Source organism: Homo sapiens, chromosome 7, assembly GCF_000001405.40.
Source record: "Homo sapiens chromosome 7, GRCh38.p14 Primary Assembly".
Classification (NCBI taxonomy): domain Eukaryota; kingdom Metazoa; phylum Chordata; class Mammalia; order Primates; family Hominidae; genus Homo; species Homo sapiens.
Genome location: NC_000007.14, coordinates 29,645,386 through 29,661,198, shown reverse-complemented (window position 1 = coordinate 29,661,198; position 15,813 = coordinate 29,645,386). Strand labels below are relative to the sequence as shown.

Sequence of the window (15,813 nt, the reverse complement as noted above, 5' to 3'; positions counted from 1 at the left end):
GCATTTATTTATTCTAGATGGTTGATCACACATATTTGAATATTATTTTCTAAGTCTGTAGTTTTAAGCATTTCAAAATCTAAAGAATAATTTTTAAAAGCTATAAAAATATGAATAAAGGACTAGAAATCAGTAACTTTTAATTAATATGCTGGATTCTGGGACAACTTTAAACTCAACAGTAGTATTTACCATGGTGTCAAATTTAGCATTTATCTTGAGTTCACAAACTTGAGTTCACTAATTTTGTCTCTGTTTTTCAAATTTCTAGCGTTTACAGACTACTATAACAACCATACTCTTTTAGGCTAAGTGTTGGAAGATAGTAATAGATTTCTGGCTGAAAAAGAAGTCTTACTTTACTAACGTAACTCCAAGATCACTATTCAAGCCCATCATTCTCACCGTCCCTTCACGTGGTCATCGTGCCCACCTACAAGTTCTCGAAAGCCAAAAGCCCATCCCTATTTAGAACCGTTTTGGCTCCCATGACTCTCTTTTCCATTTGGCTTGTCTATTACCCTGGCCATTATTTACACACTAAGGTTCATTCTTTGAGTTCATGCGAGAACAGTTTCTGGGGTCTTTAAATTTTAAGAGAAGAACTTATGATATTCTGCTCACCTATAAGGATACACACAATTAATAAACCTGAAAGGTCCCCTCCCTTTCTTTTTAACAAGATTGTGCTTACTATTTATATCTGATAAAAAGGATCACTCTACAAATATTATTTGTCTCAAATTATGACTCACCTCTGGATAAAGATGGAAGCGTTTTACTGTATTAATTACAAGAGGATATTCAGTAAGCCTGTCATTCATAATCATCCACAGTCCTTCCAAAAATGAAGATGCTTCAATATTGTTCTTGAAGTAGGAATAATAAAGTCCCTTTTTTTTTTAAAGGCACATATTGTCAATGTAATTAAAACTTTAAAATATTTATTTTTATCAATTCTTTAGTACATTTTTTTTCTGAAAAAAAAAAGGTCAATAATAAGACTTCCTAATTACTCCTTGCTATTTTGCATTCTTGGACTTTAAAAAGCACGTATTTTCAGGTGATCACCGTACTATTCTTTCAAATTGTCTATAGGTTTTCAAACTAAAGAGTTGGAGGTATGGTCCAACAATTTAAAGAGTTTATCTAATATTGTCTTAAAGTGTGTAGACAGTACATGTTTAATTTTATCAAATCTGGGTTTTATCCCCCACATTTGAGATGCTTGAAGGTTGACCTCTGATTAATTCTGTCATAAACAGGGATGCCTTCATGCCTCTGTACAACTTTGCATATAGAAAATTACTTTTTTTCCCATGCTCTTAGGAAATAAAATATAATGACCATAAGCATCATGGGCAAGGAATCCAATGCTTCTAGCTTACTTCATAGCTCCATCTAATCCTCTGTACAAAGTGAAAGCTCAATGTCGATTGACTATTGTTGCTTACAAATGCTATGTACTAAAAAGCAGATTATTTTAGTGTCTTACACTTCAGCATATAAAATAAAGTCTTCATTAGGATAGTAGAAATGCTGTTGAGTTAAAATTCATGGATTAATCTCAAGGATCTAGAACTAGAAATACCATTTGACCCAGCCATCCCATTACTGGGTATATACCCAAAGGATTATAAATCATGCTGCTATAAAGACACATGTACACGTATGTTTATTGCGTCACTAGTCACAGTAGCAAAGACTTGGAACCAACCCATATGTCCATCAATGATAGACTGGATTGAGAAAATGTGGCACATATACACCATGGAATACTATGCAGCCATAAAAAAGGATGAGTTCATGTCCTTTGTAAGGACATGGAGGAAGCTGGAAACCATCATTCTCAGTAAACTATCGCAAGGACAGAAAACCAAACACCGCATGTTCTCACTCATATGTGGGAATTGAACAATGAGAACACTTGGACACAGGAAGGGGAACATCACACACCGGGGCCTGTCATGGGGTGGGGGGAGGGGGGAGGGATAGCATTAGGAGATATACCTAATGTAAATGATGAGTTAATGGATGCAGCACACCAACATGGCACATGTATACATATGTAACAAACCTGCGTGTTGTGCATATGCACCCTAGAACTTAAAAGTATAATTAAAAAAAAAATTCGTGGATTAACAACAGCATGTTGTGTCTTATTTTCCCATCAATTTCTTGTTTTCACTCCTAAAATCTAAAAGCAAAAAAGGGCCACATTGTTTAAAATGCACTCTCCCTAAAAAATGCTATATGCTATAATCATATCTGCCTCATCCAACACGAGTAACTACTAAATTAAAGGTTTGTTTTAGCTGGTGTCGGAAAGGCCATTACCTCATAGTTGATTGGCAAAATATGAGTTCATAAAGAATTTTCCTTTCTGCTTAGGAGGATAACAAAGCAATACAATAATTAAAGGATATCTAATATGCAAAAGTCTATATGTAAGGAAATATTAAATATATAAATAAGTTACTAATAACAGCTATTGTTTTGTGTTAAGTATCCTGCTATGTGTTGCCATTCATTATCTCCCTTCATTTTCCCTAAACCTCTCTAAGGTTGGCATTATTTCTATTGAGCAGATGAGATTACTGAGAATCTGAGAGGTGACCTGACTAGCCATGATACAATAAAGCACAGAACTGCTATTAGAATCCAGCAGTCTGTCACCAAAGTCCAGACTCTGCCACAGTTACACTCTTTATTTAATACTATTTTATATTCTGTCTTTGGAAATACCTTTAAAATGTTCAGATGTCATACATATGTTAATGTATCCAATGCTTTGAAACTTTATAGGGGCAATATAGGGATGAAAATTAAAAAGCAGTGACTGAGGGGCCTGGCATAGGCAAAATCATAGAGACAGAAAATAGAGCTGGGTGTGATTAGTGTTTAGTGGGTGGAGTTTCCGTTTGGGATAGCAAAAAAAGTTCTGGATGTGGACAGTGGTAATAGTTGCAAGACAACACGAATGTACTTAATGTCACTAAATTGTATGCTTAAATGATAAACGTATTGAAATTTTTTATTAGAAATTTAAATCTAAATTTTACCATAATTTAAACAAAAAGCAATGGTTAGAGTGAGGAGAGTCAGTTTCAGTGCTTCACTAGGCCCCCGACCAGCTGCGAGCAGATCTGGAAGATGGACGGTTGTGGTGTCTTCTAAATGTAAAACTGCAATTTTGGCATTTGCTATCCCACTTACTCCCCACAATAATTATGTGAGATGTGTACGGCAGAGAACTCCATTTTAAAGATTAAGTATCGAAAAACAGAAAATTATTTAAAAATTATATCAAAAGTTATCTCTTAAAAGAGATTATCTTGAAATCAAAAGAGAGCCAAATAATAATCATCATCAGTAAAAGACCCAGTAAAACATGGGATCTCCCAACTGTAGCCAAAGAAAAAGCAATTTCTGATAACATCTTATTTCATTCCCCTTTATCACTTCTTCAGTGCTTTCTTTGTCCTCCTTCCTCAGCTATTATAATTCATCTTTATTATCTTAAAAAGAAGTCTGCATTAGGAAAGGGTGAGAGACAATGAAATAAGTAACAGAAAAATAATCTCAAACACTTTACTATTTAAATAATAAACCTGGGTTATAGCTTACGAAACAGTGCAGTTCACCAAAAGCTGGTTTCAATTCCTAATACATTTCTACCTCATAGTCTCACTATTCTTAAACCACAGATTAATTCGTTAGAAGAAGAAATCTAACCATTTCAGTGGGAGAAGTCATCTAAGTCATCTCCCGTTCCAAAGATGAGAGGTGAGAGAAATGACGATCATTTTCAAAAAGTGTTACTAAATGTAACCTAGAAAAAAAATGAAGTATCATATTACAGTGAGAACAAGTTTCAAAACCAACACTAAAATAAGCGATAAGCAAAGTAAGAAAGCCATGAAAAAGAAAATAATAAATTGTTATAATATTGTTTTTATAATTTGCTTACCAACTTGTATGTTTTTAGGCATTTATAATGCAGTATGGCACACACCTGAAATTCCTTAACTCAGTGGTTTTTAAACTTAATTGTTGCCGGGTGCGTTGGCTCATGCCTGTAATCCCAGCACTTTGGGAGCCCGAGGCGGGCAGATCACTTGAGGTGAGGAGTTCGAGACCAGCCTGGCCAACATGGTGAAACCCCCGTCTCTACTAAAAATACAAAAATTAGCCAGCCATGGTAGTGCATGTCTGTAATCCTGGCTGCTAGGGAGGTTGAGGCAGGAGAATTGCTTGAACCCAGGGGGCAGAGGTTGAAGTGAGCAGAGATCATGCCACTGCACTCCAGCCTGGGCGACAGAGTGAGACTCTGTCTCAAAAAAAAAAAAAAAAGAAAAAAAAACCCCTAATTATATATCTAAAATTCTTGTGGCTTTTTTCACGCTCCCTTCCGTCCCAGGCCTCAAAATCAGAACAGAGGCAGGTTATTGTTTGTTTTTTAAGTTTCAAGTGATTCTAGTGTACCGGCCTTGGGAAATACCTCCATAACTGTTGAAAAGGGTTCCGAATATAATTTTAAATAAAATTACTTTAGATCAAAGCAGACTTACAATAAGTATAATATCACATAAGGGATCAACTTTCAAGTGCCAAAGAATACAGGTGTGTACTTGAAGACCTTTTAGTAGTGAAACTCAGCAGCTGTCGGCAGTGAAGAAAGGAGCATATGTGATAAACAAAATTAGCTGTGGTCAACAATTATGCTATAGCTAACTTATGTAGTCAGTACTTTCCAGTGAAGTTGAAAATAAAGCAAAGTTCCATACATTAACCCTGTTTTCCACTAACCGTTCTTTACATGTAGGCCATATGCCAGGGTACCAAAAACTGCAGGAATATTCCCTACCATTGCAGCCTCAGTTCTAATATCGAAATCTCCCTGCAGACTAAATGTCTAGAGCAGCACTGTGTCAACAGAACATAGGGGCACATCTCATACCTCCCAAGGGTAGAAATCGCTGAGCACAGGTAAAAATAAAATATTCCAGAGGGAAATATTATTTTACAAATTTTTATAAACACTTTTGTAAAATAATGTACACAGGCTTGCACACTGAAAGGCTCAAAGCCATTTAATTCTGTATAACCACTGCAGAATCTTTGTCTTCTTTTTTACCTGATTTCCAATTGGCAGGTGTTACTAAAATTTTATGACCAAAGTATTTTTTTTTTTTTTTTTTTTTGGGACGGAGTCTTGCTCTGTTACCCAGGCTGGAGTGCAGTGGCGCGATCTGGGCTCACTGCAGGCTCCGCCTCCCAGGTTCACGCCATTCTCCTGCTTCAGCCCCTGAGTAGCTGGGACTACAGATGCCCGCCACCACACCCAGCTAATTTTTTGTATTTTTAGTAGGGACAGGGTTTCACCGTGTTAGCCAGGATGGTCTCGATCTCCTAACCTTGTGATCCGCCCGCCTTGACCTCCCAAAGTGCTGGGATTACAGGCGTGAGTCACCGCGCCTAGCCATCACCAAAGTTATTTCACTGGCTGGGTGTGGTGGCTCATACCTGTAATCCCAACACTTTGGGAGGCTGAGGCACGTGGATCATTTGAGGCCAGGAGTTTGACACCAGCCTGGCCAACATGGTGAAACCTCGTCTCCACTAAAAATACAACAAATTGGCTGGGTGTGATGGTGCACACCTGTAATTCCAGCTATTCAGAATGCTGAGGCATGAGAATCACTTCAGCCTGGGAGGCAGTGAGTCAAGGTTGTGCCACTGCACTCCAGCTTGAGAGACAGAGCAAGACTCTGTCTCAAAAAAAAAGAAAAAAAAAGTTATTTCACTAACAACATATAATTACCATAAAATAAAGGAGGGTTTTAAATGAACTACACATGCAAAATACACTAGAAAAGCTAGATATTTAAAGAAACGTGTAGTGAATTATTTGGTAGCAAAACGATTTTAATTCACAAGTTACTATTCCCCTAATGCATCTGTTTTGTAAATGCTGCTTCACATATGAGGTTTGTAAAAAAGCAAAGTATACGTATAAATTGGTGCACATAAAGATGTTCTACAAATATAGCCAGAAGCTGTTTTACTGTATGCAAAGAGTGATGGCAATTTTTAATTCAAATGTTTTTAAATATTTCAAACTGAAACTAAATCTTACCAATGTAAAATTGCCACAAAGACGGCTGGAATAAAGAAAAAAAGAAAAGTTATTAAAAGCTGCTTTATTATAAAATACCATTAAAACAAGTATTTCAAATGTATTATTTTACATGTCTAGAAAAGATAGCACACAAAGCAAGACAGCCAGCTAATCCTGTCTCTATGAGCATAGGAAAAAATCCAGGACACAAAGCAAATTTTGAACAGAGCTTACCTGTCTGCAGCGGGGCTTGACAAGCAAAGGGAGAGACTTGAGAGAGTTTTTTTACTTCAGGTAATTGATAAGAGTGATGGAATTATAGAAGATTGTGACCTTTTTTTTTTTTTAGTATTATTTTCTATTCCTTTATATGAAATTTTTAAAAGAAGTAAATATATACAGTATGCTTCAGCTAATTCTAACCAAGAGGAGCCACTCTAGATCAGTTTCTCTAGCATTCATCGGGAGACAAATGCAGGCAATCACTTCCTCAGCGGCACATCTAAAAGCCCCATTGTGCAACTCAACCCTTGATGAATTGCAAGCTCTTTGCAAGCGCCCAGACCTAGGAGCTACTAGATGGCCTAGGAAACTAATCTGGAGTCACCTGTGCCAGCACCCCATGTATACGTAAGACTTCACCAGGGAGCTGGGAGACACTGCTCTGGGTATGGAGCTTTTACAGGAGCTGCAAACACAGCCTGTGCCCCTGTATGGTTGGGGAATTGCTTGTTTTCAAGGATACCATGGAGCTGGGGAGAGAAGAGTGGGGAATAGAACAAGTTAAAGCACCACAAACTTTGCTGTTCTTATAGAGTTTCAGCAGCTTTTCTTGAATTAATGCCCTTTAGATTGTTGTAAACCTTTGGTTAATTTCCAAAGTTTTGAAGAAAATGATTTTGATAATTTTCCAAGTATTTTCATTGTCGTCATGGAGGAGTGCATTTCCTTGGCTATTCCAGAAGTCCCACCTCCCTTCTGAGATCTTATAATGGTATTTCTTATGGTTATCCCAAATATACTTGGCAAGTCATCTTATAAACCACCAATAATAGCCTCTTAAAAATTCAAAAATCACTCCACTTGGCTAACAAAATAAATGCAAATTAATTCAATAATTATTGAAGAAATTAAATTTTTAAAAATTAAAAAATTGCAATGTTGAAATTCTCAACCAGGCTTATCCAGATCTTTTCCTATGTTACTAACTGTCCTGGGCTTATCTTAAATACTGCTCAGAAGATTTACTTGTTTTATACCAGGATAGGCAAAGTATGGCCCATGGTGTGTTTTTGGACTGTCCGCAAGCATGGTTGCTATAATTTTTAAAAGGTTGAAGAATTTAAAAGGTTCTAAAGATGCTCATTAACTGTTTATTAGGCTTCATTAATTTTAAAATATACAACTATTCAACTATATTTGTATCCTATTTCTAATTCTCCTAACAACCATATACACTGGCAAAAACTCTTCAGATGATATATAAGGAAAAGGTCAAATATACTTCCAAATTCATCCAGCTTTCCAAAGATGCTCAGAATCTTTCTGTGTCTCTCACTCCCTCCCTTAACCCACATACCACATCTGAAAAAAAATGATATGGTGTAACGATGCCAGTATTCTAAATGCTTGAAGGGCTTATCACATGCCCTTTCCAAGCTGTGAAGAAGCGTGTCCCCTGGACCCCGGCATCCTATCAGTCTCACCTCTGAAGGTGACCACAGCCTCATACTTCACTGCAACAAAGACCATTAGACGCCAGCACTCCCGACTTCTTTTATCTCCACTTTAACATTTCTCCATATAGTAATCCTCACTTTTCTACTCCCTGCCATCTCAGAAAAGGAATTCCCTCTCCTCTTTTCCACAGTTAGCTTCTCAAATTTGTGCCTTTAATTCTACCCCTCCCAAATATTCCAAGACTTGCTCCACTAATTATTTCCTCTCTTGGAATCTTAATATCATCCTCTTCCCTTGATCCTTCCCCTCAACCTTTAAAACTCCTAGACCTTAAAACACTCTCTGCGATCTGACAACCCTTCAAACCAATATACTCCCCATGTCTCTCTCTCCCCTGGTTCAATGACAAGATCTTTGGCCAACTTCTTTCTACTAAGTTCCCGTAAGTTTTTTTTTTTAAATGACCAACAACCTTTTAGTTATCACAATTCTTTTGTGTCTTTCTGTAGCATTTGGTTAGATTCTTGGCTCTCTTCCCCTCTCATCTTTCATCACACCAACTTTCCCAGTTCTATTTCTGTGACTACTCTGATTTTATCTGGTTTTTCCTTTTCCTCTCATCTCTTAAAACCAAAAGTTTTCCCCAAGTATCTGTCCTTTGCTGACTTTTCTCTCTTGGCAGTTTCACTCATTCTTAAAGTTTCGGTGCTCACGTCTACAGAGATAACTCCCATATCCTTCATTCCTGAACCTTCATTCCTGAACTTTCTCCCTTCCCAGGCTCCTCTTCTACCAGGCCACCCATCCAGTCCTGTCAAATGTCTCCATCAGCTCTCACCTATCCTCTCCTCTCCATGTCTTCTGTGGCTACCCTCGTGAAGACTATTATTGCCTGGATTCTAGTGCTAGTTTTCCAATTATTCTTTCTGCTTCCTTTCTCAGTCTCTCTTACACACTGCTGCCAAGTTAATCTCTGAAGCTCACTTCTGATCATGTCACTCTATTTAAAAATTGTTTGGTGTCAGTATTGGGAATGTACTATATGCCACTAAACTGTTCACTTTAAAATGATTAATTTTATGTTATGTGATTTCATCTCATTAAAAAAATTTTTTTTAAAGAAAAGAATTAACGCCTTCCTACAGATGGAGTTCAAATGCCTTACACCTAACCTTGAATTAGACTCTCCAAGGCTGGTCTCAATCAACCTTCTCAACTTATTTCCTGCTACTTCTTTCTCATGCCCTTCATTTCAGCCTACTTGGCTTTCATGTTTTCTGCCTCCTATGACTTTGATCATGCTGTTCTATCAGCCTCTGACACTTATTGATCTCAGCTCCACATATCCAAATATAAGCCTTTTGTCACAATTCGAATCTCACCTTTTCCTAAAAGTCTTCCCTGATCTCATTTCCCATTTCCCATCCTAAAGCATTTGTTCACACTTCTGAACTCCCATAACAGTCACAATAGTCACGCATTATTCACCAAACTCTAGGGTTCCTTCAATGCACGAGATGTTGGTGCACTGGAGCTTGTGTTGGGGATGGCAGTACAGCTTGGTTTCCAGGACCACGCTGATTCTGGATGGGGGATGTGTTCACTGGCATAATTAGATATCTGATAAAATCCAAGTCTGAACCTCCATCATTCCTCAAGTACTGTTAACACTTCAAGTGTGGGGACACATTCTACTTTGACATCAACAGTCAACTTACAGTGAGAAAATTACAATAATTGACATTAAGAGACATTTATCTATGACAGTTTATATCAGCAGCCAGTCTGACTTAGGGCCAGGCTCAAAACTGATTCTATACCAACAGCAACAACATTTAAGCTCCCTCTTATGGTACAGAAAATGAAGCGAATGAGGGAAAGGGAATGGGGGGAAGAAAAACCCTTCAAGTGCATAAATAAGGAAATCTCCTAATTGTAGGCACTGAAGCTCCACAGCAAGATGGAAGTCAATCGGGCAATATATATCTACTTTGGCCCTATTTCCATTATAAATGTTCTCAACTAATTTTTTTTTACTCCATTTTATTCTGCTTTCAGGTGCTGAGAAACATAATGTCTGTTCCCCAAGAGCCAGCTAATCATTTTTACTAAGTACGATAATTGGCTGCCCTGATTCAGATAACATATCCTTATTGTGACATAGGGGTGACTATTGTCAGAAAACCCTGAAAATGTTTTAAAACAAGAACTAATGGGGCTTGGCGATTCTTGCCACGCTTTTCCAGAGCTCGGACCTTGCTATTATTTGCTACTAGACACCCACAAACCCTTGCTTGTTAAACTGATCGCCTTCAAGACTCAAGAAAAGCGCCATGCGGCTCCCTCCTAGGGCTCTCCTGACCTTTCCTCACCAATGCCGAGAGTGGTCCTGCTGGAGAACGCACACGCCTGCAGTTCGTGCACCTTTTCCCGGAGCTGCACCAGGAAATTATGGATCAACTGGAAGCAGCCAAGAAGAAGGGTCTTGGCGATCACATCCAGCTATTCAGCCATCTCAGACTGCGGACCTCCGTGCACCCCCTGGCAGGTTCCCTCCGCCTAGGGTCGAAAGCTTCAGAGGCAGCCCCAACTCTTCCACTTCTTCCTCCATCTCTGGCTCCCAGGCTTGGGAGGCCCCGCGCCACCGCTTCAACTGGCTGGGGTGGGAAGATTGAAACGGCTCTTGAGACTCTGCTTTTGCGCTTACTGCTCGTTTGCCCGACTATTTTCTCATAGTCCCTATTCCAGTCAATTTCTGGCACAGCCCAGCTTGAAACTGCTCTTGAGCCTCCGATTTTGAGCTTACTCCTGGTTTGCCCGACTATTTTCTCATAATCCCTGTTCCGGTCAGTTTCCGGCACAGCCCAGCTTGAAACAGCTCTTGAGCCTCCCCTTTTGAGCTTACTCCTCCTTTGCCTGACTCTTTTCTCATAGTCCCTGTTCTGGTCAATTTCCGGCGCAGCCCGGCTTGAAATGGCTCTTGAGCCTACGCTTTTGAGCTTACTTCTCATTTGCCCGACTATTTTCTCATAGTTCCTGTTCCGGTCAATTTCCAGCGCAGCCCAGCTGAGTTGGGCGAGGTCTAGAAAGGCCTGACTCGCCTCTTGGCCTCAATGACTTGTACCCGCTGCTTTTGCAGACCTCCCGGTCTTCATGGCAACTGTGAAATGTGGGGTGGGGGGCGTAGGGTTGAAGCCATTCGCGCCGGTAGTCCCTGCATGTCCCCTCATGTGCTCCCCAGTGCGCACAGCACCCCAGCCTCCGCGCTTCTGGAAGCAGCCCAGAAGGGTCTTGGCAATCACGTCCAGCTGTAAGCCATTTCGCGGTCTCAGATTGCGGACCTCCGCACGCCCCCTGGCAGGTTCCCTCCGCCTAGGGTGGAAAGCTGCAAAGGCAGCCCCAACTCTTCCACCACCTCCTCCATCTCCGGCTCCTGGGCTTGGGAGGCCCCGCGCCACTGCTTCGACTGGCTGGGGCGGGAAGGTTGAAATGGCTTTGAGACTCCACTTTTGAGCTTACTCCTCCTTTGCCCGACTATTTTCTCATAGTCCCTATTCCAATCAATTTCTGGTGCAGCCCAGCTTGAAATGGCTCTTGAGCCTCCGCTTTTCAGCTGACTCCTCGATTGCTCAACTATTTTCTCATAGTCCCTGTTCCGGTCAATTTCCGGCGCAGCCCAGCCCAGTCCGGCGAGGTCTGGAAAGGCCTGACTCGCCTCGCAGCCTGAATGACTTGTACCCACCGCCGATGCGGACCTCCCAGTCTTCTTGGCGACTGTGGGGTGGGGGGCATGCGGTTGAAGCCGTTCACACGGGCAGTCCCTGCATGTCCCCTCACGTGCTCCCCAGTGCACGCGGCACCCCCGCCTCCACGCTTCCCTGAGCGTGCAGCCTTTGGTGAGGGCAGCCCCACGCACAGCCCCCCACACCCTCCCCAGCGCCTGCAGCCCCTGGTGCACGCAGTCCCCAAGCCCGCACGTGCAGCCCCCACCTTGCACACAGCTCCATGTACAGCCCCTCATACGTTCACAGCCCCAGTGGCGCAGAACCCATCACTACTCGCTCTTCACGCGCTTCACTGGGCGTGCAGCCCCCACAGCGCGCAGCTCAATGCAGCCTCTCCACGTGCTCCCCAGGGCCTGCAGCCTCGTCTTAACTTCTTTTGCCAGGCCCACACATACCTGCCTATGGCCTGAGTGGATTGGCAATGACAGTGGTGACAGCTGACATTTACTGAGTACATGCTATGTTCCAGATGCTGCGTTTCCATTCTCCAATGAAGAATCTTAAGTCTCAGGGCCTCATGCAAAACTATACAGCTAATAAACAGTAGAGTTGGGATCTAAGCCCAGGGAATTTTACTCTAGAACTCGCAGTATTAACCACAGTGCTCTCTTGGCTTATATTTCTAAGGCACATGCTGTAACCACTTTTTTTTTTTTTTTTTTGAGATGGGGTCTCACTCTGACATCCAAGCTGGGGTGCAGTGGCGCGATCTCGGCACACTGCAACCTTCGCCTCCCAGATTCAAGGGATTCTCCTGCCTCAGGCTCCTGAGTAGCTAGGATTACAGGCACATGCCACCATGCCCGTATAATTTTTTGTATTTTTAGTAGAGACGGGGTTTCGCCATGTTGCCCAGGCTGGTCTCAAACACCTGACCTCAGGTGATCCGCCCATCTCGGCCTCCCAAAGTGCTGGGATTACAGGTGTAAGCCGCCACGCCCTGCCTATAACCATTCTTTTTTTAGGGAGGTGTGGTATATGGTGCTACCCTGGATCTGTAGTCAGGATTTGAAGAAGGGAGAAGGTATTTGCTTGTGAAGAAGGCACCATGCATTGTGCTCTGTAGTGGTGACTGGAGAGAGAGCTGGGAGGGGCACAGGCAGCAAGGTCCCTGCTTAAAGACAGTTATCTAGTTTGGAGAAACTTAGCTGGATAGTCAGTTCTTACATGCATTTGGCAAGCACTTATCATACACTGTAAAGAGGCAATATGTCTAGCTTGTTAGAGGGTGGGCTCTGGAGTCAGACTTCTGGCTTTGAACCCCAACTTCCCTGCCATTTTCAAATGACACTGGAGAAGTCACAAAACCTATTTCTGTCTCAGATTCCTCCCCAGTAAAAGTGGGATATTAATAGTACCTCCTTTGGCTTGATATGAAAATTCAATGAGTTGATATATGCAGAACATCTTAGAACAGCAACTAGCTTAGAGTAAATCTTCAGTAATTGTAAACTGTGAATATACTATGTTTTTGGCACTGAAGCCACGTCGTGGTAAGACAGTGCCTGACCTCAAGAAGCTCAGAGTCTAGTACTGGAGACAGGTGAACAAATACTTGCAAAGTGTGTGGTGTGAGAGAGGTGTGACAGGTGGGCGGGAGCCTGCAGCAGGCACATCTGACCCATCCTAGGTGTGTGTTGTGCAGAAAAGTTAGCCTAGGCTTTCTAGGGGCACTGATGTCTGGGCCGAGTCTTGTAGGGCAGGGAATTAGTCAAGGGGAGCTGTAGTGATCCAGCTGGGGCTGAGCAGGAGCTGAAAGTGAACAGCTCACATCTGTAGGGTTGCCAGATTTAGCAACGGAAAGTACAAGATGCCCTATTAAATGTGAATTTCAGATAAAATAATAACTTTGAAGAATATGTGTCATGCAATATTTTTAGTATAAGTATGTCCCAAATATTGTATAACCACACACATTATTCATTGTTTATCTGAAATTCAAATTTCACTGGGCATCCTATGAAAAGTCTGTCAATTTTATCTGTCCGCATTTAGGAAGGTGCAGTATGTTTCAGAGTAGCTGGAGTGATGCAGGGAGGAAAGGCAGAGTGGGCCGGATGGGGCTGAGAGGCACACAGGAGGCAGTTTGTAAAAAACCTATGCTATGTTAAGGGATTTAGATTTTATCCTGAAATTAGTGATGAGCCCTTGGAGAGCTTTAACCACAGGGATGTGAAACCACAGAGACAGCAGTGTCGGGCACGAAGAAATGAGTGTCACTTTCTATGGCTGAATAGCAAATTACTCCAAATTTAAAGTCTTAAACAGTAAACATTATCTCCCAGTTTCTGTGGCTCAGGAATTCAGAGGCAACTTAGCTGGGTGGTTCTGGCTGAGGTTTCTCATGAGGTTGTAGATAAGATAGTGACCAGAGTGGCAGTTATCTAAAGGATGCACTGGAGCTGGAGAATTTGCTTCTAGGGTGACTCACTCTAATGGTTGGGAAGGTACTGCTGGCTGTCAGCAGGAGAGCTCAGTTCCTTGCTACAGGACCCCCCATAGGACAACTTGAGCCTCCTCACAACATGACAGCTGGCTTAGTAATCCAAGACAGCAAAGTGACATTAACTTTGGAAGTCACATGCCACCTTGTCATTCCCATATATCCCAGTGCTAACACAGCTCAGCCCTGCTCAGTGCAGGAGGGTCCTACACAAGGATGTACATACAAGAAGGTGGGGATCATGGGGTTATCTTGGAGGCTGGTTTTCTGGGATGGGAGGCTTACATGGTGATGCCTGTGACCTTGGAGGTGGAGGAGAATGATGGGCGTACAGAGGAGTGAAGAAAGGCTGGGAGGAATAGAGATGTGGGAGAGGAGGTGAGGCAAAGAAAAAAGAAAGGAGGAAGGGGTGTTGGAGCAGATTGTAGTTGATCCACAGCAAAGAGCATCACCAAAGCCATTCCAGGAGGAACTAGATCCACCACTTCCTCTGCTGGGCATGCTCCAAAAATGGTTGTGGCCTCCAGAGAGGACTCCAAAAGAAAGCACAAAAACTAGACAGTGGGAGGGCATACCCAAAAGCCCTGAGTTTCTGAAAAAATATTGAAAGTTTCTATGGTGAAATAGGAAGTTAATGTGCTTAGGAAGAAAAAAGTGGTAATGATTCAAGGAAACATAATCACACACGGTTTTAGTTTTAATGGACATGGGAGGAGCCATAAAAGTAGTCTATCTATCATCAGTTACATATCTAATGAACTGTCTATCTGGGATACCCTATCCTGTTTTAATCTGAGTGACTCTCTCTCAGCTGAGAGAGCTGGACAGACTCCATTTTAGCCTCTTCACTTGCAGTCCCCTTATCCCCCTCCCTTAAGGGAATAACTAGTGCAAGCTGACTCCAAGCACATCCAGGAATGCACTTACTGATAAGATATTGAGGCAAGCTGTACCAGCAGCTCCTGGGGACGTGCTCAGTGGATGGTACCCAAGCCCCTGCATTTATCTCTTTGTGATAGTTTAAGCCCCTGCACCTGGAACTGTGTATTTTTCTGTAACTATCTCTGTAACCATTAATTTTTTTTAACTTTTTGCGTGTTCTGCTTCTGTAAAAATTGCTTCAGCTAGGCTCCCCCTGCCCTATTTAGACCACGGTATAAAAAGAAATCTATCCCCTTCTTCGGGGCTGAGAGAATTTTGAGCTCTAGCCATCTCTCGGTCACTGGCAATAAAAGAACTCCTGAATTAGTCTCAGAGTGTGGCGTTTCTCTATAACTTGCTTGGTTACAACATTTGGAGGCCCCAGTGAGATCTGCTAGTGGGTGAAGACCGGACTCGCTCTGGGCTCCCCTGGACAGACGGCGGGCTTATAGGGGAGGCACCCCCTGAAGACGTTCCAGGGCCCTGTAGGCCACCGTCTTCTGGAGGGGAACGGATTGACTGCCGTTGTGCCCGGCCAAATTCAACTCCTGAGTCCTCAATCTCTGGTCTCAGGAAGGTAAGTCAGATCTGACTCTGTCTTTCTGGGAGGGAAATGGCCATGACGAGGGTCCTCCCTCAGACTCTGTCCATATTCCAGGATGCTGGAGGACAGAGTCCTGGTTTCTGTCATGTTTCTCTGTTAAGCTTCTCTCTCTCTCTATATATATATATAAACACACACATATATATGTGTGTGTATATATACACATATATGTGTATATATACATACATATATATGTTTATATATAGAGAGACGTCTCTCTATATATATGTATATATATAGAGACTTAACAGAGAAGCAT

At 42.0% G+C, this 15,813-nt stretch overlaps 1 long non-coding RNA gene across 1 annotated transcript in view, besides 2 other annotated features; it reads left to right on the top strand.

The window, feature by feature from the left end:
- The window catches only part of MIR550A3HG (MIR550A3 host gene), a 39,217-nt gene extending 23,940 nt beyond the window's left edge, over positions 1–15,277 (top strand). The window contains exon 2 of the long non-coding RNA NR_024278.1: positions 9,860–15,277. This is a non-coding gene — a long non-coding RNA (MIR550A3 host gene). The remainder of the gene's footprint in view (positions 1–9,859) is intronic.
- Positions 11,200–11,801: an enhancer, noted in NCBI's record as "H3K27ac-H3K4me1 hESC enhancer chr7:29689014-29689615 (GRCh37/hg19 assembly coordinates)". NCBI's record gives its function as "activates a minimal SCP1, AML or CMV promoter by ChIP-STARR-seq in naive H9 embryonic stem cells {active_cell/tissue: H9 hESC(naive)}" and the evidence as "EXISTENCE:reporter gene assay evidence [ECO:0000049][PMID:30033119]".
- Positions 11,802–12,404: an enhancer, noted in NCBI's record as "H3K27ac-H3K4me1 hESC enhancer chr7:29688411-29689013 (GRCh37/hg19 assembly coordinates)". NCBI's record gives its function as "activates a minimal SCP1, AML or CMV promoter by ChIP-STARR-seq in naive H9 embryonic stem cells {active_cell/tissue: H9 hESC(naive)}" and the evidence as "EXISTENCE:reporter gene assay evidence [ECO:0000049][PMID:30033119]".
- Positions 15,278–15,813: the final 536 nt, after the last annotated feature.